This window comes from Homo sapiens, chromosome 15 (genome assembly GCF_000001405.40).
Source record: "Homo sapiens chromosome 15, GRCh38.p14 Primary Assembly".
Classification (NCBI taxonomy): Eukaryota; Metazoa; Chordata; class Mammalia; order Primates; family Hominidae; genus Homo; species Homo sapiens.
The window spans coordinates 80,563,957-80,578,646 of NC_000015.10; the positions used below are offsets into that span (position 1 = coordinate 80,563,957).

General features: G+C 49.1%; 1 protein-coding gene across 1 annotated transcript in view; it reads left to right on the forward strand.

Annotated features, from left to right (window-relative positions):
* ARNT2 (aryl hydrocarbon receptor nuclear translocator 2) overlaps window positions 1-14,690 on the forward strand; it is a 193,552-nt gene that overhangs the window by 159,575 nt on the left and 19,287 nt on the right. The window contains exons 13-15 of the mRNA NM_014862.4: window positions 10,192-10,264; window positions 11,031-11,154; window positions 12,910-13,009. Coding sequence (NP_055677.3) covers window positions 10,192-10,264; window positions 11,031-11,154; window positions 12,910-13,009 — 297 coding nt within the window. The remainder of the gene's footprint in view (window positions 1-10,191; window positions 10,265-11,030; window positions 11,155-12,909; window positions 13,010-14,690) is intronic.

The following is a 14,690-nucleotide window of genomic DNA, read 5'->3' on the forward strand; positions in this document are numbered from 1 at the left end:
GACCTTGAACAGGTCATGCCTCCTCTGCATTTAATCTCAAGGAAATACAAGGCCAAGGAACCAACACAAAGACATTTGGACAAAAGGATGTCCAAGCAAACGCAAGCATGTGGAAGCCATGGCCAGTGTGTCGGGAGGACTGTAGCATGCAAGGGTATGAGATGAGGCTGGCATCCGGAGAACTGTCCCCATGTCTCACCATCGTAGTCAGTGGCACCAGCATCCATCATTTTCCCCAGTTCAGCACTCAGTCGGGGGACCTGTTTCCAACCCTACCACCTCTTCTTCCTCATCTGCTGACATCCCTTCTCGGTAGCCTCCCTGGGATTCTGAAGCCTCCAGGCGGTCACCACAGCCTACTGGCACTCTCAGAACTTGCCTGGCTCTGCCCTCTGTTGCCGTCTCTGAGCCCCTTGGATTTGGGAGTTCCCATCTGGGCCCCACAAAGTAACCTTCTTTCCAGGCAACACCACCCTCTGAGTCCTCAGCCTCTGCCCTGCTCCTGGGCCAGAAGTCACAGAGCTGGACAGACAAGCCCATGAGAGAACCCTCAGAGGGCCAATGACCTGGATTTTTTTTTTTAATTTTAGATTCAGGGGTTACATATGCAGGTTTGTTACATGGATATATTGCATGATGCTGAGGCTTGGACTTCAGCTGAATCCATCACCCAAAGGGTGAACATAGCTCCCAATAGGTGATTTTTCACCCCTTCCCTCCCTCCCACCCTCCCTCTCTAGTAGTCCTCCCAGTGTCTATTGTTCCCATCTTTATGTCTGTGAGTACCCAATGTTTAGTTCCCACTTAAAGGTGAGAACACGCGGTATTTGGTTTTTTGATTCTGCATTCATTCACTTAGGGTAATGGATTCCAGCTGCATCCATGTTGCTGCAAAGGACGTGGTTTTGTTCTTTTTAATGGCTGCATATTTTGTGTCATTTATGTACCACATTTTCTTCTTCTTCTCCTTTTTTTTTTTTTAAATTGAGACAGAATCTCACTCCGTCACCTAGGCTGAGGTGCAGTGGCACTATGGGCTCATTGCAGCCTCGACTTCCTGAGCTCAGGTGATTCTCCCACCTCAGCCTCCCGAGTAGCTGGGACTACAGGCACACACCACCACGCCTGGCTGATTTTTTTGTATTTTTAGCAGAGATGGGGTTTTGCCATGTTGCCCAGGTTGGTGTCAAACTCCTGGACTCAGGCAATCTGCCTGCTTTGGCTTCCCAAAGTGCTGGGATTACAGGTGTGAGCCACCATGCCCAGCCCACGTTTTCTTTATTCAGCCCACCGTTGATGGGCACCTGGATTTGTTCCTTGTCTTTCCTATTAGGAATAGTGTTGCAATGAACCTGCAAGTCCAAGTGTCTTTTTGGTAGAACAATTTATTTTCCTTTGAGTATATACCCAGTAATGCAGTAATGGGATTGCTGGGTTGACTGGTAATTCTGTTTTTAGCTCCTTGAGAAATCTCCAAACTGCTTTCCACAGTGGCTGAACTAATTTACATTCCCATCATCAGTGTGTGAGCATTCTCTTTTCTCTGCAACCTTGCCAGCATCTGTTTTTGTTTTTGTTATTGTTTTTTTTTTTTTACTTTTTACTAATAGCCATTCTAACTGGTGTGAGATGGTATCTCATTGTGGTTTTGATTTGCATTTCTCTGGTGGTTAGCGATGATGAGCATTTTTTTCATTTGTTTGTTGGCTGTTTCTGTGTCTTCTTTTGAGAAGTATCTTGTTCATGTCCTTTGCCCACTTTTTAATGGGATTTGTTTTTTTCTCATTGATTTGTTTAAATTCCTTGTGGATTCTGGATATCATGTCTTTGTCAAATGCATAGTTGGCAAATATTCTCTCCTATTCTGTAGATTGTCTGTTTACTCTATTGATAGTTTTGTTGTGGTTGTGTTTGTTTGTTTTTTCTGTGCAGAAGCTCTTTAATTAGATGATGACCTGCATTCCAACCCCAGCTCCCAACTGGGCAAGTCACCTACTCTTTCTAAGCCTCGGTTGCTTCATCTGTAAAATGGGGAGAATGACAGAACGTACTGGCCCAGAAGCATAGAATTTTTCTGCAGATTCTGCATGGAGCTACTGCATATGAAGCACTCTACTGTGATAGCAGGCAGAGTCGGCCCCGGTAAAAGTGGTCTGCAGTAACTATCACTGAGATTGTCAACAGCACCAGCAGCAGCAACCCTGCCACCCTTTGCAGCGACTTGGCAGTTTCTTGGGCCAGCTCTTGCCTGCAGCCCTAGATTATGTTTGGTCTTCTAAATGCCCTGCCTGCCTTCTTCCTCTAACTCTGGGCAGATCACCTTGCCTTCCAACAAACAGAGACACCAGGACCCTCCTGGTGATTCTCTTCCTGTTCATGAGTGTATCTATCTCAATGCCCTCCTCTCCTCCATTTCTGGCATCTAGCAGAGGCAAAGCCTCCTCCTTCCAGGGCCAAACTCTGCACCTTCTTCATCTCCCTGCACGTCCCTGGACTCCCGTGACCCTCCCTTCTTGTCTCATCCTCCTTGTTGGCTCCTTCTTGGGCTTTCACATAGGCACCTGACTTCCTGATCTCGGAGAATCCCTGTCTGGCCAACCCACCAAAGCTCCCCTCCCACCTGGCCCTGCCAGACGTGTCTGTGGGAACCTCCTTCTTCACCATTCATCTGTTGTTAGCACCTTACAGCCTGGCTTTGGCCCTGAAGGTATTGAAATTGTTGTCCCAGCAGCCTCGGATAACTCATATGAAATAACCTGTTCTCACTGGTCATTCTACCCAAACTCTGTCCAACCAGCTCCTCTTTGTTAATGTCACCCTTGGCTGACTTGATATTCTGATTCTTTTTTTACCTTTGCCTTCTAGTCAAGACGTTCTTGGTTGTAAGTAGAGCAGGAACAAATGTACTAAGTCATAGTTCCAGGTGTGCAAAAAGATAATACTATTTTACTATTTTCTATTCTGATTTTATCTAGTGAAACTCAGTTAGCTTGGCCAAATTAAGGATGTTTTATTGTCTCACTTCTCCCAACATGGGAAAAGGGTGGTTCTTCTTTACTCAGGAAGCAGAGAGGTACCACCTCTGTGCCAGGCTCATGTGTGGCCCGGCCTTGAAGAAAATAGGGAAGCTTGAGAAACGGGAGTAAAGGTAAGCAGGGCTCAGGATTCCATGGTGCTTCCTTTGTTCAACAGATGGGTTATGGAGGGTGCTGAGCATGGGCCTTTCAGGAGCTCTTGAGACAGGGTAACAGGATGTGCTCACTGACCTGAAGGAGCCAGGTGCAGGGCGGTGAGAGCCCCAAAGGGAGAGGAGGAGGAAAACACCATCCTGGATCTGCTTAGCATCTGTTCAAGACATAGCTTTAAATGCCAGCCTGGATCTGCTTAGCATCTGTTCAAGCCATAGCTTTGTCCCAGGCTCATACCTCCTGTCATGGCCCCTTGCTCCAGCCACTCCAGGCTAAGACTTGAGCTCCCATAACGTTCTTGAGCTCCAAGAACGTAAGAAGGGGCAGACGGGAGGGACAGGTAGAATGCAATGGGGGCAGAGAATAAATACTTCCCCGCAGGGCCTCGGAGAAAGCATCCCCAGGAGGTAGCACTGCAGTGGGGTTTGCAAGAAAAGTAAAGATCCCCCTGTGAAAACCAGCCCCCTGGCTGAGGTTTTGCTTTATTTTTCTGAAAGTCAGGCAGCACTGAGAAAACAGAAAAGCCATCTTGTACAGGGGGTGGCCTACGTAGTTCCTCCAGACAACTGCTTTTGCAGCTTGTGAGGTTACACGGATCAGGATGCCCCCTCAGGGCACAGTTACACCAGAAGCCTCAATCTGTGTCTCTGAACTGAAAGGTCCTACACTGGTGAAGTTGGTTGGAAAAGTCTACTGTGGACGGTAGAGGGCAGTGACAATCAGGGATGTGAACTGGCCAGCTCTTTTTTGAATTTGTGAGGCGAAACTTTGCCAGCAGTAGGCAGACTTGTTATGGAAAGATCCTTAAATGCTCTGTGCTGAGGGGAGGGGATGGCGAGGGTGGAGTGTGGGCAATTTGCAAGCTCGGTTGCTTTCAGTCAAAAGCATCCAAAAGAAACTTCCTGGAGAAACTGAGTGTTTAATGTTGAACATTTGTGTAAAGCCACTACAAAGAAGACCTCTTTATCATCCTTGCTTTTTTTCCTGTTCCATCAAATATGGAATGAGGTCCAGAAAAACACAGACTGATTTAACGTGCTGGTCACACAGCACAACTTTGAAACGTGCCTTGGCACTGGGGGGCCAAGACTCATTTGGGGCTGTTTGTTAGCTTGAGTCATTTCAGCGTTTTTACATGGGCACGACCTAGCTGCTGTGCTTTCTTCATTTCTGACATCTTTTTAGGGGAGTGATCTGAAGTTATCTCTTTGTGTCTGTTCAGGCCAAGTCCTATTTCCTGTCACAGCATTGTTCCAACGTTGTCATAACCACACCTGTTGGTCGTGCTCGTGTATGTGTGTGTGTGTGCATGTGTTTTTAAAACCCCAGAATGCCCAGAATCATGACGGAGTCTCTCTCGAGCTGACTCACCATCACGTCTCCTTCGTCATGCTTAGCAGTGGCCACCTGGTTGGTCCTAGGCAGGCAGTGGAGCATAGGGGTGGGTACAAATGAAGTCAAAGGAAGGCTGCTTTCCTGGTCTCTGCAGAGCGTAGAGGCAGTAAGGGGCTGAAACAGCCAGTCACCAAGCCCCAGATCTGGGAGCTATCCTGGATCCCTCCCTCTCATTCACCTCAACAGGCAACCTGGCACAGAACCAGAGCCCCACAGGTTCTACCTGCGATTCTCTCTAGCGCATCTCCTCCTCTGCCTCTTTGGCCTTGCCTCAGTTGAGGCCTTTGCCGTCTCACAAGTGATCATCGGTCTTCCTGACCATCTCCCCTGCCTTCCATCAGGCCCCTGCTGAGCCAGTCCACGTGGCCCAGGAAGTGAGCTCTAACACACACACACGCGCACACACACGCGCGTGCACACACATGCTTGACTGGACCGTGCTGCTCCCTGCCCTGATCGAATCAATTCCAAACCCTGTAACAAGTATTTCGAGTCCTTCACAATAGGCATGCAGATGGTGCTCAGTCAGGGTGGATATTATTAGCCTCCATCCCCAGACGCCTCCCAGTGTGCTTCCAGTTACTCCCAGGGACATGATTCCAGCTACCTCAGAATGCCCGCTTCATGGCTTCTTGCTCACTTACTCAGGCTGAGTAAAAACCCCTGTCCAGGGAGCATCAGGGAAAATTGACAGCATCTGCCCGGACTCCTGCACCTCGCCGGCAGGAAGCCGCACTTGATGCATTCACTTTCTACTCCTCAGCCGTTGTAGCCCAGCTAATGGAGGGCAGCACTGGCTGTGGTAGGAACCCACTTCCCTCGCATGTGCTGTCAGTCAGTTTTCTCCTGAGCAGCCCTGCTTTCTCCTTCTCTGGAATTTGCAAGCACACCGAGGTTTATTTTTATACCATTGCCGTGAAATGTCTGAGAAAACTCCCCAGGGCTCTTCTCAGGATGGGGCAGCCTGCAGGTCAGCACTTTCTCTTCCACACATGCTCAGCTATGGAAGCAGAAACCCAAAGGTTGTGGGATGGAGATGCTGATGTTCCGACCACAGAGCCAGAGCAGTTAGGGTCCTGGGGATTTGCCAGCCATACCTGCGACCTAATTTTTCTGCTTCCCAGTGAAAGGAGCTTTTTCTGGTCTAGGAGCCCAAAGAGGAACAGAACTGAAAGCAAACCCCCGGCCTAATACCAAGAACCCTTATCACAGCCTTTATCCACATTAGAAACATGGGCCTTCCCCAAACACAGACCTGCACCAAGGTGTGTGAGTGGAGAGGGCCAGGTTTGTGCCCCACTTCGCCCCTTGGCCAGGCATCCGGGGCACAGCTACACAACTGCGCACAGTGGTCCCTGTCCTGTCTCTGAGATTCTGGGCCTGGGCCAGAGAATGGTTCATGGATTGCTGCCATCATGGGGAGTTCACTGCTTCAACCCCACAAAAGTCCCAAGGAACAGATTTTTCTCTTTCCTGTGGCTCAAGATGCCCAAGGTACTAGAATGGGAGACATGGAATAATTGTCCTTGTTATAGCCATGGGTATTTCTCTTGGGCTGGGGCAGCAGCCTAGGCCAGAGTAAAAAGACCGCAAGGCCAACAGCCAGACAGACTTGGGTTTGAGTCATATGTGTTCCATATTCTTGCCATGTCACCCGGATGTACCCTTTACACATCAATTACATTCTAGCCATGTCGCCCTGGATGCATCATTTACATTCTAACTGTTACTCTGGACCCATAGTTCACACCCTGGACACTTACATCTACACTTTCCTCATATGTCTCAGTTGCTTTATCTCTAAAATGAGGATACTGCAGAGATGTGAAAATATTGACAAAGTGCTGGCCATCAGTCCTACATTAAGTGGAAGGTGACGGTGCCCCCAAGGTGTGAATCAAAGCAAAACATAACAAAAGCCATAAAGTAAGAATAAGAGAGTAGAGAAAGTAATGCTTTTTTTTTCTATTGATTATACTGATTCATTTTTCAATTTCTGAAATATCAATTTGTTTGGAAAATTATTTCTAGTGCTCCCACTTTGCTGGTCTAACAAGTGTGGGCTGAGACTGCCTGGTGGGAGATCACATGCTTTTGGTTTTATCCTTTTCCTTTTATCTGGGCTCCCACACCGACATTAGGAGGCAGACTGTACCCTTGGATAGAACCTTGTTCTTCCTGAGGCGTCATCTTAACTCACCACACTGTAATTGCTTGCCCACGCCTGTCTTTCCCTGGAGACTGTCAGTTCCATGAGGGCAGGGATCTTGTGGGTTCTGAGCAATCAGTCTGTCCCCGGTGCCTGGCAAAAGAGTTCCGTACAGTTCACTGAATGAATGACTCTTCTGGGCTGAATTCGAAACAGAATGTTCTCAGGGTCCTCCAACTGGGGTTCCCTTCAAGGAGGCCTTCCCTTATGGTGGGGACACACACACACCAGGGCCATCAGCACAGACGGCATGGCCAGAGGAGGAAATGGCGTTCAGATCATACATATTTTATAATGCCGAGTAAAAGAGTTTAGAAACAGAATCCAACTTATTTTGTGTTTCTCCAGGGGCAGAAGTTGTTCCCCAGATGAAAGTTATAGGGAGGTACATTTCAGCTCCTTAGGGGTCAGGCTTTTTATAAGTATTTCTGTCTGCAAATGGATCAGGCTGCCCCAAAACGTAGTGAGCTCTCTAGCAGAGAAAGTCAAGCAGAGACTGACCAGTTGCCTGTCAAAAGAAATGATGTACTGGGGGTTGCTGTTATCAGAGGAGCTGTGGACCAGATCACTTGTGTGCATTTGCTTCTTAGGAGCTGAGGAGAGTTGGTAAATAGCAATGCATCTTTTGTGTAATCCAAACAGCCTACACTTGGAATGAGAAAATCTAGTCTTGCTCAGTCTTCACCACTTACCAGCCTGGTGATTGTGTTTCTACCACACACAGTTGGTGCACCCTCTGCCTTGCCTGTTTGCCTGGGAGGAAGATTGAAGTTAACCATTGTGGAAAGGGCCAAATGGGATCCCTTGATCTCTGTCCTGGTTAAGTTTGGCCAGTGGAGGGACTGGCTGGAAACAAAGGAACAAGAGTGGAAGAGTAAAAGGTATTAGGCAGCCTTGCTCACCACGGCTCTCACAGGTCTGATAGCTGCTCACTCCCCCTGTCCCTTTGGCCCTAGGGATGGTCATGGCTTCCTGTTGTTGCTAGCCTAGGGGCTCTTCACCATCCTAGTATAACAACTATGAAAGCTTTTCCTTTCCCAAATGGGGCAGACAGCAAAGCACCTTGAAATCAGAAGTATCAGGTCAGTCCTTGGCTCTGTTCTGTGATAGCCACTTGCCAGTTGGCCAACTTTGACAACCACTTAACCTCTTTGAACTTCAGTTTCTTAACTTTAATATGGGGGTGAAGTAACCACTCTGAAAGCTTAGTGTGAGGATTGGATGAGATAATGTAAACACCTGTCCATTTATGGCCACACCTGTTAAGTAGCCCCTTCCCTAAACCTTCTTTAATCATCCCTTTTGAGGGTGCCATCTATTTTCTGCAAACCTCTAGCATCTCTGGGCCTCAGTTTCCTCATGCGGAAAGGGAATTAAAAAAAAAAACAAACCTATTTCCAAGGTGACTGTGAGCCTAAGGTGAGTTAGGATGAATGCAGGCACCTAGCAGGGGGCCAGGGCAAATGCACAGGGGCGGGTGCAGGTGTTACCTCTGCCTTCCTTCCACGGTGGCCACACACCACCTTCTCCTGGATGGGGGCCTCCAGATTCTCACCAAGCCTGTGCTTTTGCTGATAGTTACAATTTTGTTACAGTTTTTGTTACAGTTTGTTTACAGTTTTGTTACAGTGTTCCAGCCATGCATTCCTGGTGGTTCCTCCCCAGGAAGCTGGTCTACCTTCCACACCTGCTCCTCCCCACCAGCCACTTCCTCATCCTAGATAACAAAGGCTTCCTCTCCCACCCTCCCCTCTCTTCCTACCCACAGAATATCTAGCCAGCCCTCCTTGCATCCCAGACCCAGATGAGGGGAGGTGGCCTGTGGGCAGTTCCTCCATGGGGTTCCCCACCACCCAGTCCAGGACACAGCCATGGGTGAAAAAAGTGGGACCACGAACGTGTCAGAGGAGACCCACTGTGATCCTTCTTGTTTCAAAATAGACAGTGGACGTAAACAAAGGAAATCCATAACCTTCCTAATTAATGCAGACACTTGAGAGATTGTTTTTCTTGGTGTTAAATTTTGCTCACCCACATAGTTTGTGGCCATAATTGCAGCGTGCATAATATATTGTGCTGCACTTGAACTTTTCCACACCTTTCATCATACCTTCCTGTGTTTCCAGACGATCTTCACAGTGGTTGCTGTCAGTGCTGTGGAATAGTCACTCAGGAAATTAATATTCAGGATTTACAAAGTCACTCCTGATTACAGCCAACTTTGCATGGGTAGCTCTTACTTCCTTCCACTGAATAATTTCCTTACTACAGCTCAGCAGCAGGATGACCACCTGGGAGCGTGTGAGCAAGTCCACAGTCCCTCATCTGGGTCACCATAGTTTTCCGAAAAGGTCGTGCCATGCACACTTCCCCAACACCGTGTGACCATGGTAGTTTCAATGCAAAGCCACCATGTGAAACATATTTTTACCAACTTAGCAGTTGAAAAATTATACTTCAAAGGTGTTTTAATTTACATTTATTTTGATTATTTTAATGGCAAAATGTTTCCCTGACTTGTTTATTGTATCTATTATATATACGTTATTATAGGTACATACAGTACATGTATATTTGTCCTTTTATTTATTTATTTATTTTGCTTGAATTGTCTGTTCATATGCTTTAAATTGATTGCTGGGCTGGGAGTAATGTCTGTTAGTAATTTGAATTGCATAGTACCACTAATAATTTTTTGCCTGTCCTTCTTAATGATATTTACAATTGAAGAGGATCCTGTCATTTGCCCCATTTTTAGGCTCTGAGCTATAGAGTTCACTTTCCCTTGAAAACAATCCAGTAAAGCCGCCATTTCCTCCAGCAAGTCTTTTTCTTCCCCAAATGGAGCAGGCAGCAAAGCCCCTTGGAGTCAGAAGTATCAGGTCAGACCCTGGCTCTGTTCTGTCATAGCCATTTGCCAGTTGGCTGACCTTGGCAACCACTTAACCTCTTTGAACTTCAGTTTCTTAATTTTAATATGAGGGTAGAATAACCACTGTGAAAGCATAGTGTGAGGATTGGATGAGATAATGTAAACACCCGCCCGTTTATGGCTAAGTGTTAGCTGAAGCCAACTGCTTCATTCAGCATTAAACCCAACTGCTTTTCTGAATTTGCCTTAAAGTATTTGTTCTGCGGTATCTTTTGACCCTGCATAAAATGAAGTCACACGTCAAAATTGGTTTCTTAAATAGTTGAGTTTGGTAGCCTAAACATGAAATGCAATGTCTGGAGTCTTGATTTAGGGCATTAAAAATAAAATGATTAAAAATGGAAAACAATGTAGAGATCCATCGGATATCACCCACTCTGCCTCTGAGGTATGGGAAAAGTCCTGGCTTAGCCCTATTGTCACCCCTTCTGTTCTTCATGACCCTCTGTTGTCTTCTTGTTTCACAGGCAACTTCAGCAACAGCAGGCAGAATTGGAAGTGCACCAGAGAGATGGATTGTCATCGTATGACTTATCCCAGGTGAGTTTCTGGAAAACCCTTTCCCTGTTGGAATTGTCTCCAGCCCAATGGACTTGGGACTCAATTCAGCCCTGAGCTTGAGCCCCTCAACACAAAGGATTGCCCCATCCCCCCACTACAATGGAAAGAGCAGACCTACAGGTCCCCTGGGGGTCTGCTGCTGTCACTCCTCCCTATAGAACTGAGCCATGAAGAATGTGTGAGTACCAGGTGAAGAACCAGGGGCCATAGTCAACCTAAGGGCTGAGGGACATTTCTGAGGACCATGCGTGAACTGTAGTATGAGTATACTCAGAGGCCAGCAAGAGCAGCTTCTGATCCCCTTGGGCCCCTTGGCTTCTTGGCCATTTCCCTGCCACTGCCTGTGTCCTGTTCTTCCTCAATGTGCCTCTTCCTGTCATGCTCTGAGCCTCCCTCTTCACCGGCTCTGTCTCCTTTCCTTCTCCTATCTCCACATGATGTCCACTTTTCCTGATATTTAGAGTAAGTTGATTGTTGTTCATTTCTCACTCTCTCTAAGAAAGTAATCAGTGTGACTCTGCTGTCCTTCCTCTGACCTTCAGTTCACCGCCCCCTAACCCCCTCACCGGCTTTTCTTGGCTTTCACATATAGAAAAGCTTCCCACCCGATAAAATGTTCCAGCCCAAAATGCCAGTGATTCCAGAGGGAGGGGGCTCTGATGAAGGAGAGCTGGTGGCTCCTGGGGACGCATGTTCTGTGCCTTACGCATGAGTTGCTGTTGTGTTTTATTTAATGTGCAAATAGGTCCCCGTCCCCAACCTACCAGCCGGTGTTCATGAGGCCGGGAAGTCCGTGGAAAAGGCGGATGCAATCTTCTCCCAGGAAAGAGATCCTCGGTTTGCTGAAATGTTTGCAGGAATTAGTGCATGTAAGTTTCCAAATGGTACTGAGGTTTTGAGAGTGTGGGTTTACAGTTGCTTTCAGGCCATCTACAGACAGCTACTCTTAGTAAGAGGGGGCCACGGAAGGTGAGTTTTGAGTAACCATTGCAGGGTATAAAAATACACGAGTTGGAATGGATTCTGTCTACTCCTGGCCTTGCCTCTGTATACCAGTTACCCAGGGTATGGTAACTAAACTTTATTTCCTTTATTCCAATATCGCATTGCGGGTGAACATGTTAGGGATTGTAGGAATGAGATGGGTAGAAATTTGAAGATTCTGGGGCACTGGGAGGGCACTGCAGAGAGCCCTGGGCACCCTCGATGACCGAAGGAGGGAGAACTGTCACATTGGAGCCTGCTGTCTAGCACCCTGCCACCACTCGTGTTCCCACTCCTGTTTCTCAAACCACCATACAAAGCACCTTCTCTCTCGTGTAAAATTCTAAACAGCCAGCTGGGTCTTGAGCCCATTTCTTCAGCCGTGTGGCTGTGGGTGAGCCTGTGGGTGAGACGACTCTGCTCACCATTCTGCGGTGGCAGAAAATCATGCATTATTGCACCTGCTGGCCAGGGGCTGAGTGTTTTCAGTGTTAGAGGAGCTCAGTCTCTCAAAGAAACCCTAGTGGAACGTCAAGGCACACAGATCCAGGGCTGTTCCCTGGACATCACCTGCTGCGGCACCTGCTGGGTGAGGGTGGCCAGGGGTAGCTGAGTTCCAGAGTGGGAAGAGCACTGGGCTTGCATTCACGCCTTGAGCCCTCCCTCGCCGGCTCATGACTTTGGACAAGCTACAACTCACTTTTCTCATCTGTAACAAACGATAGCAAACTTTTAGTTTCTGTTTGCTCCCTTAATCAGGCACTGTCGTAAGCACTTAGGTTAACTCACTGAATTGCCACTACAGCCTTCTGAGGAAGATACTTTTATTCTCGCCTTCTTTCTGTTGGGAAACTGAGGCAGGGGATGATTAAGTAACAGTCCAAGGTTGCACCTCTTACCTTGGAGATGGGATTCAGACCCAGAGAGCTGAGATAAGAGTCCATCCTCTTCGCTGTTACCCTGTGCTTCCTCACCCAGAACTAGAGGACTTGGAATCCCTACACCGCAGGGTTGGAAAGATTGGATAAAATAATGTCTGAGAAAGAACTCTCATTAATTTTTTTTTTTTGAGGTGGAGTCTTGCTCTGTCGCCCAGGCTGGAGTGCAGTGGCGTGATCTCAGCTCACTGCAGCCTCCGCCTCCTGGGCTCAAGCGATTCTCCTGCCTCAGCCTCCCGAGTAGCTGGAACTACAGATGGCTGCCACCATGCCTGGCTAATTTTTGTATTTTTAGTGGAGACAAGGTTTCACCATGTTGGCCAGGCTGGTTTTGAACTCCTGACCTCAAGTGATCCGCCTGCCTCAGCCTCCCAAAATGCTGGGATTACAGGTGCAAGCCACCATGCCTAGCCTCATTAATTCTTTTAATCTTCCCCACTCTCCAAAAAAGCCTTGCCGTCAAGCAGCCTGTGGCCTAGCCTAGGGGTCAAGAACAACAGCCCAGTGCCTTCATATGCCAGGGAGGCTCCAGGGGAGATGAGGAGGCAGAGGCAAGGCTGAGAAGATTGCGTGCAGGCGGGCTGCCCTGACTTGTGTCCTCCCGTTCCCACGCCCACCCCTGCACCTCTTCTTGGGGCAGCCTCCTCTGTGGTCTGCAGAGCAGGGAACCTTCGCATGTGACTCCTGCTCTGGTTTTCCTAGCGGAGAAGAAGATGATGAGCTCAGCCTCTGCAGCAGGAACCCAGCAGATCTACTCCCAAGGAAGCCCATTTCCCTCTGGACACTCCGGGAAGGCCTTCAGGTATGTGCCAGCGAGGGGGACAATGGCGTGGGAAGATGCTCCCTCACCAAGAAAGCCCTGGGTCTCAGAGCACAGCTCTGTGGGCTGTAAGCATGAGTTAGTGGTTACTGGCGCTCAGGCCTTGGACTAAACTGAGGATTCTGGTGGCTCTGCTTCTGCTCTGTGAGCCCTCTATGAGTTGCCATAGATTCCTGGTGTCAGTTACTCTTTCTTGGATGTGAACAGCACCAGCCACTGTGTTCTGTGGCAGTGATTGCCAGGGAGAAGGGAGTGAGTTCCCTCTAGCCAGGACCCAAGTGAGCTGGAGCTGGGAACAGCTGACAAGGTAGCAGGAAGTATCCTGTCATCTGGTGCCCAGAGGCTACAGCCAAATCCAAGGAAGACTGGTCAGCTCAGCCCACCACGTCTGAGCCTCATCCTAAAGGGCACTCAAGGCTTCAGGCAGGGTGTCCAACCTTCCCAAGGGTTGGTTCTTAGCATCAAGGGCATCTGGTAGGTCACTGAGGAAGCCCTGACATCATCACTGGAGGCAAGGCCTGGCTCCACTGACTTCTGGGGAGACAGAAGCATCAACTGGGAAGAACGGTCAGAGAAGAGGCTGGCAGCTCTTGGGGAGGGTATGTGGGCACTCACCTGTGCCCACCAGACACCCTAAAGTTCCTCATGCCCAGCAGGGCAGGGCTTCTCCAGTGAGGTTGGCCAGACCCTAAGCAGAGCTTCCAGATGCAGAGGCCAGGAGGGCAGGTGGGGCCGGCCACCCAGAGAGAGGCCCCTGCCACGGGACTGCCCTAGCCACAAGGAATGAGGATTTTGCTTCCACACTGGTTCAAGGACAGACCTCCTGGAGACAGATTAGCAGACATTGCAGGGGCTCTGGCCACGCCTGCAGCTGAGTCTTGCTGAATTGCACACTGCTCTGAGGCTCTGGGGAGCCCTGGCTGCAGGCAGGGCCTCTGGTCTGGGGACAGCAGACAAGATGGCAGCCCTCTGTGAGCAGTCCCTAACCATCATCACCGCAGGTCACGCTGCTCTGCTGAGCAATAGTCAAGCCCTCCAGACTTCTCTTGGCTGCTGAGTTACTCAGCTACTCAGCACGCACTGACCGATCTCCGTTGATGCCAAGCCCTGTGCCAGCCCTGCCTGGGTGCTCATGTTCATGGGGTCCTTGTGACACTTGCTGCTTGTCCTCCACTCTGGACAAAGGGGATCAGGGAGAGCACAGCAGCAGGAGGTAAGGAGGGGACAGTTCAAAGGCAAGGGGACAGCCCAAGGTGGCATGACCGGAGAAGGTCTGGCTGACTCTTCAGCTAGGCCTGAAAGCAAAAGTCAGGTTCTGCCTCCTGACCAGGGCAGGGGTGCAAGGGCCTGAGGGGTGTGCTGAGTGAAGCCTTGGAGGAGGTGTTGTTGGAGGAGGCCTCACTAATGGGAGAAACAGAGGATGACCACGTTGTTCTATGACAACGGCCTCACACAGGCTCTGCACCTCACACTGGACTGTCTGCCCTGAGCTGTGTCTGCAGCAGCAGCCGTGGGGACCATGCTGAGGAGGAGGACACCATCACTGATGACCTTTGGGAGAAGAGTGAAGCTGCAGACAGGGCTCAGGGCAGACAGTCCAGCGTGAGGTGCAGAGCCTGGGTAACGCTGTTGTCATAGAAACAAAAATGTAGGGTGCACAGGG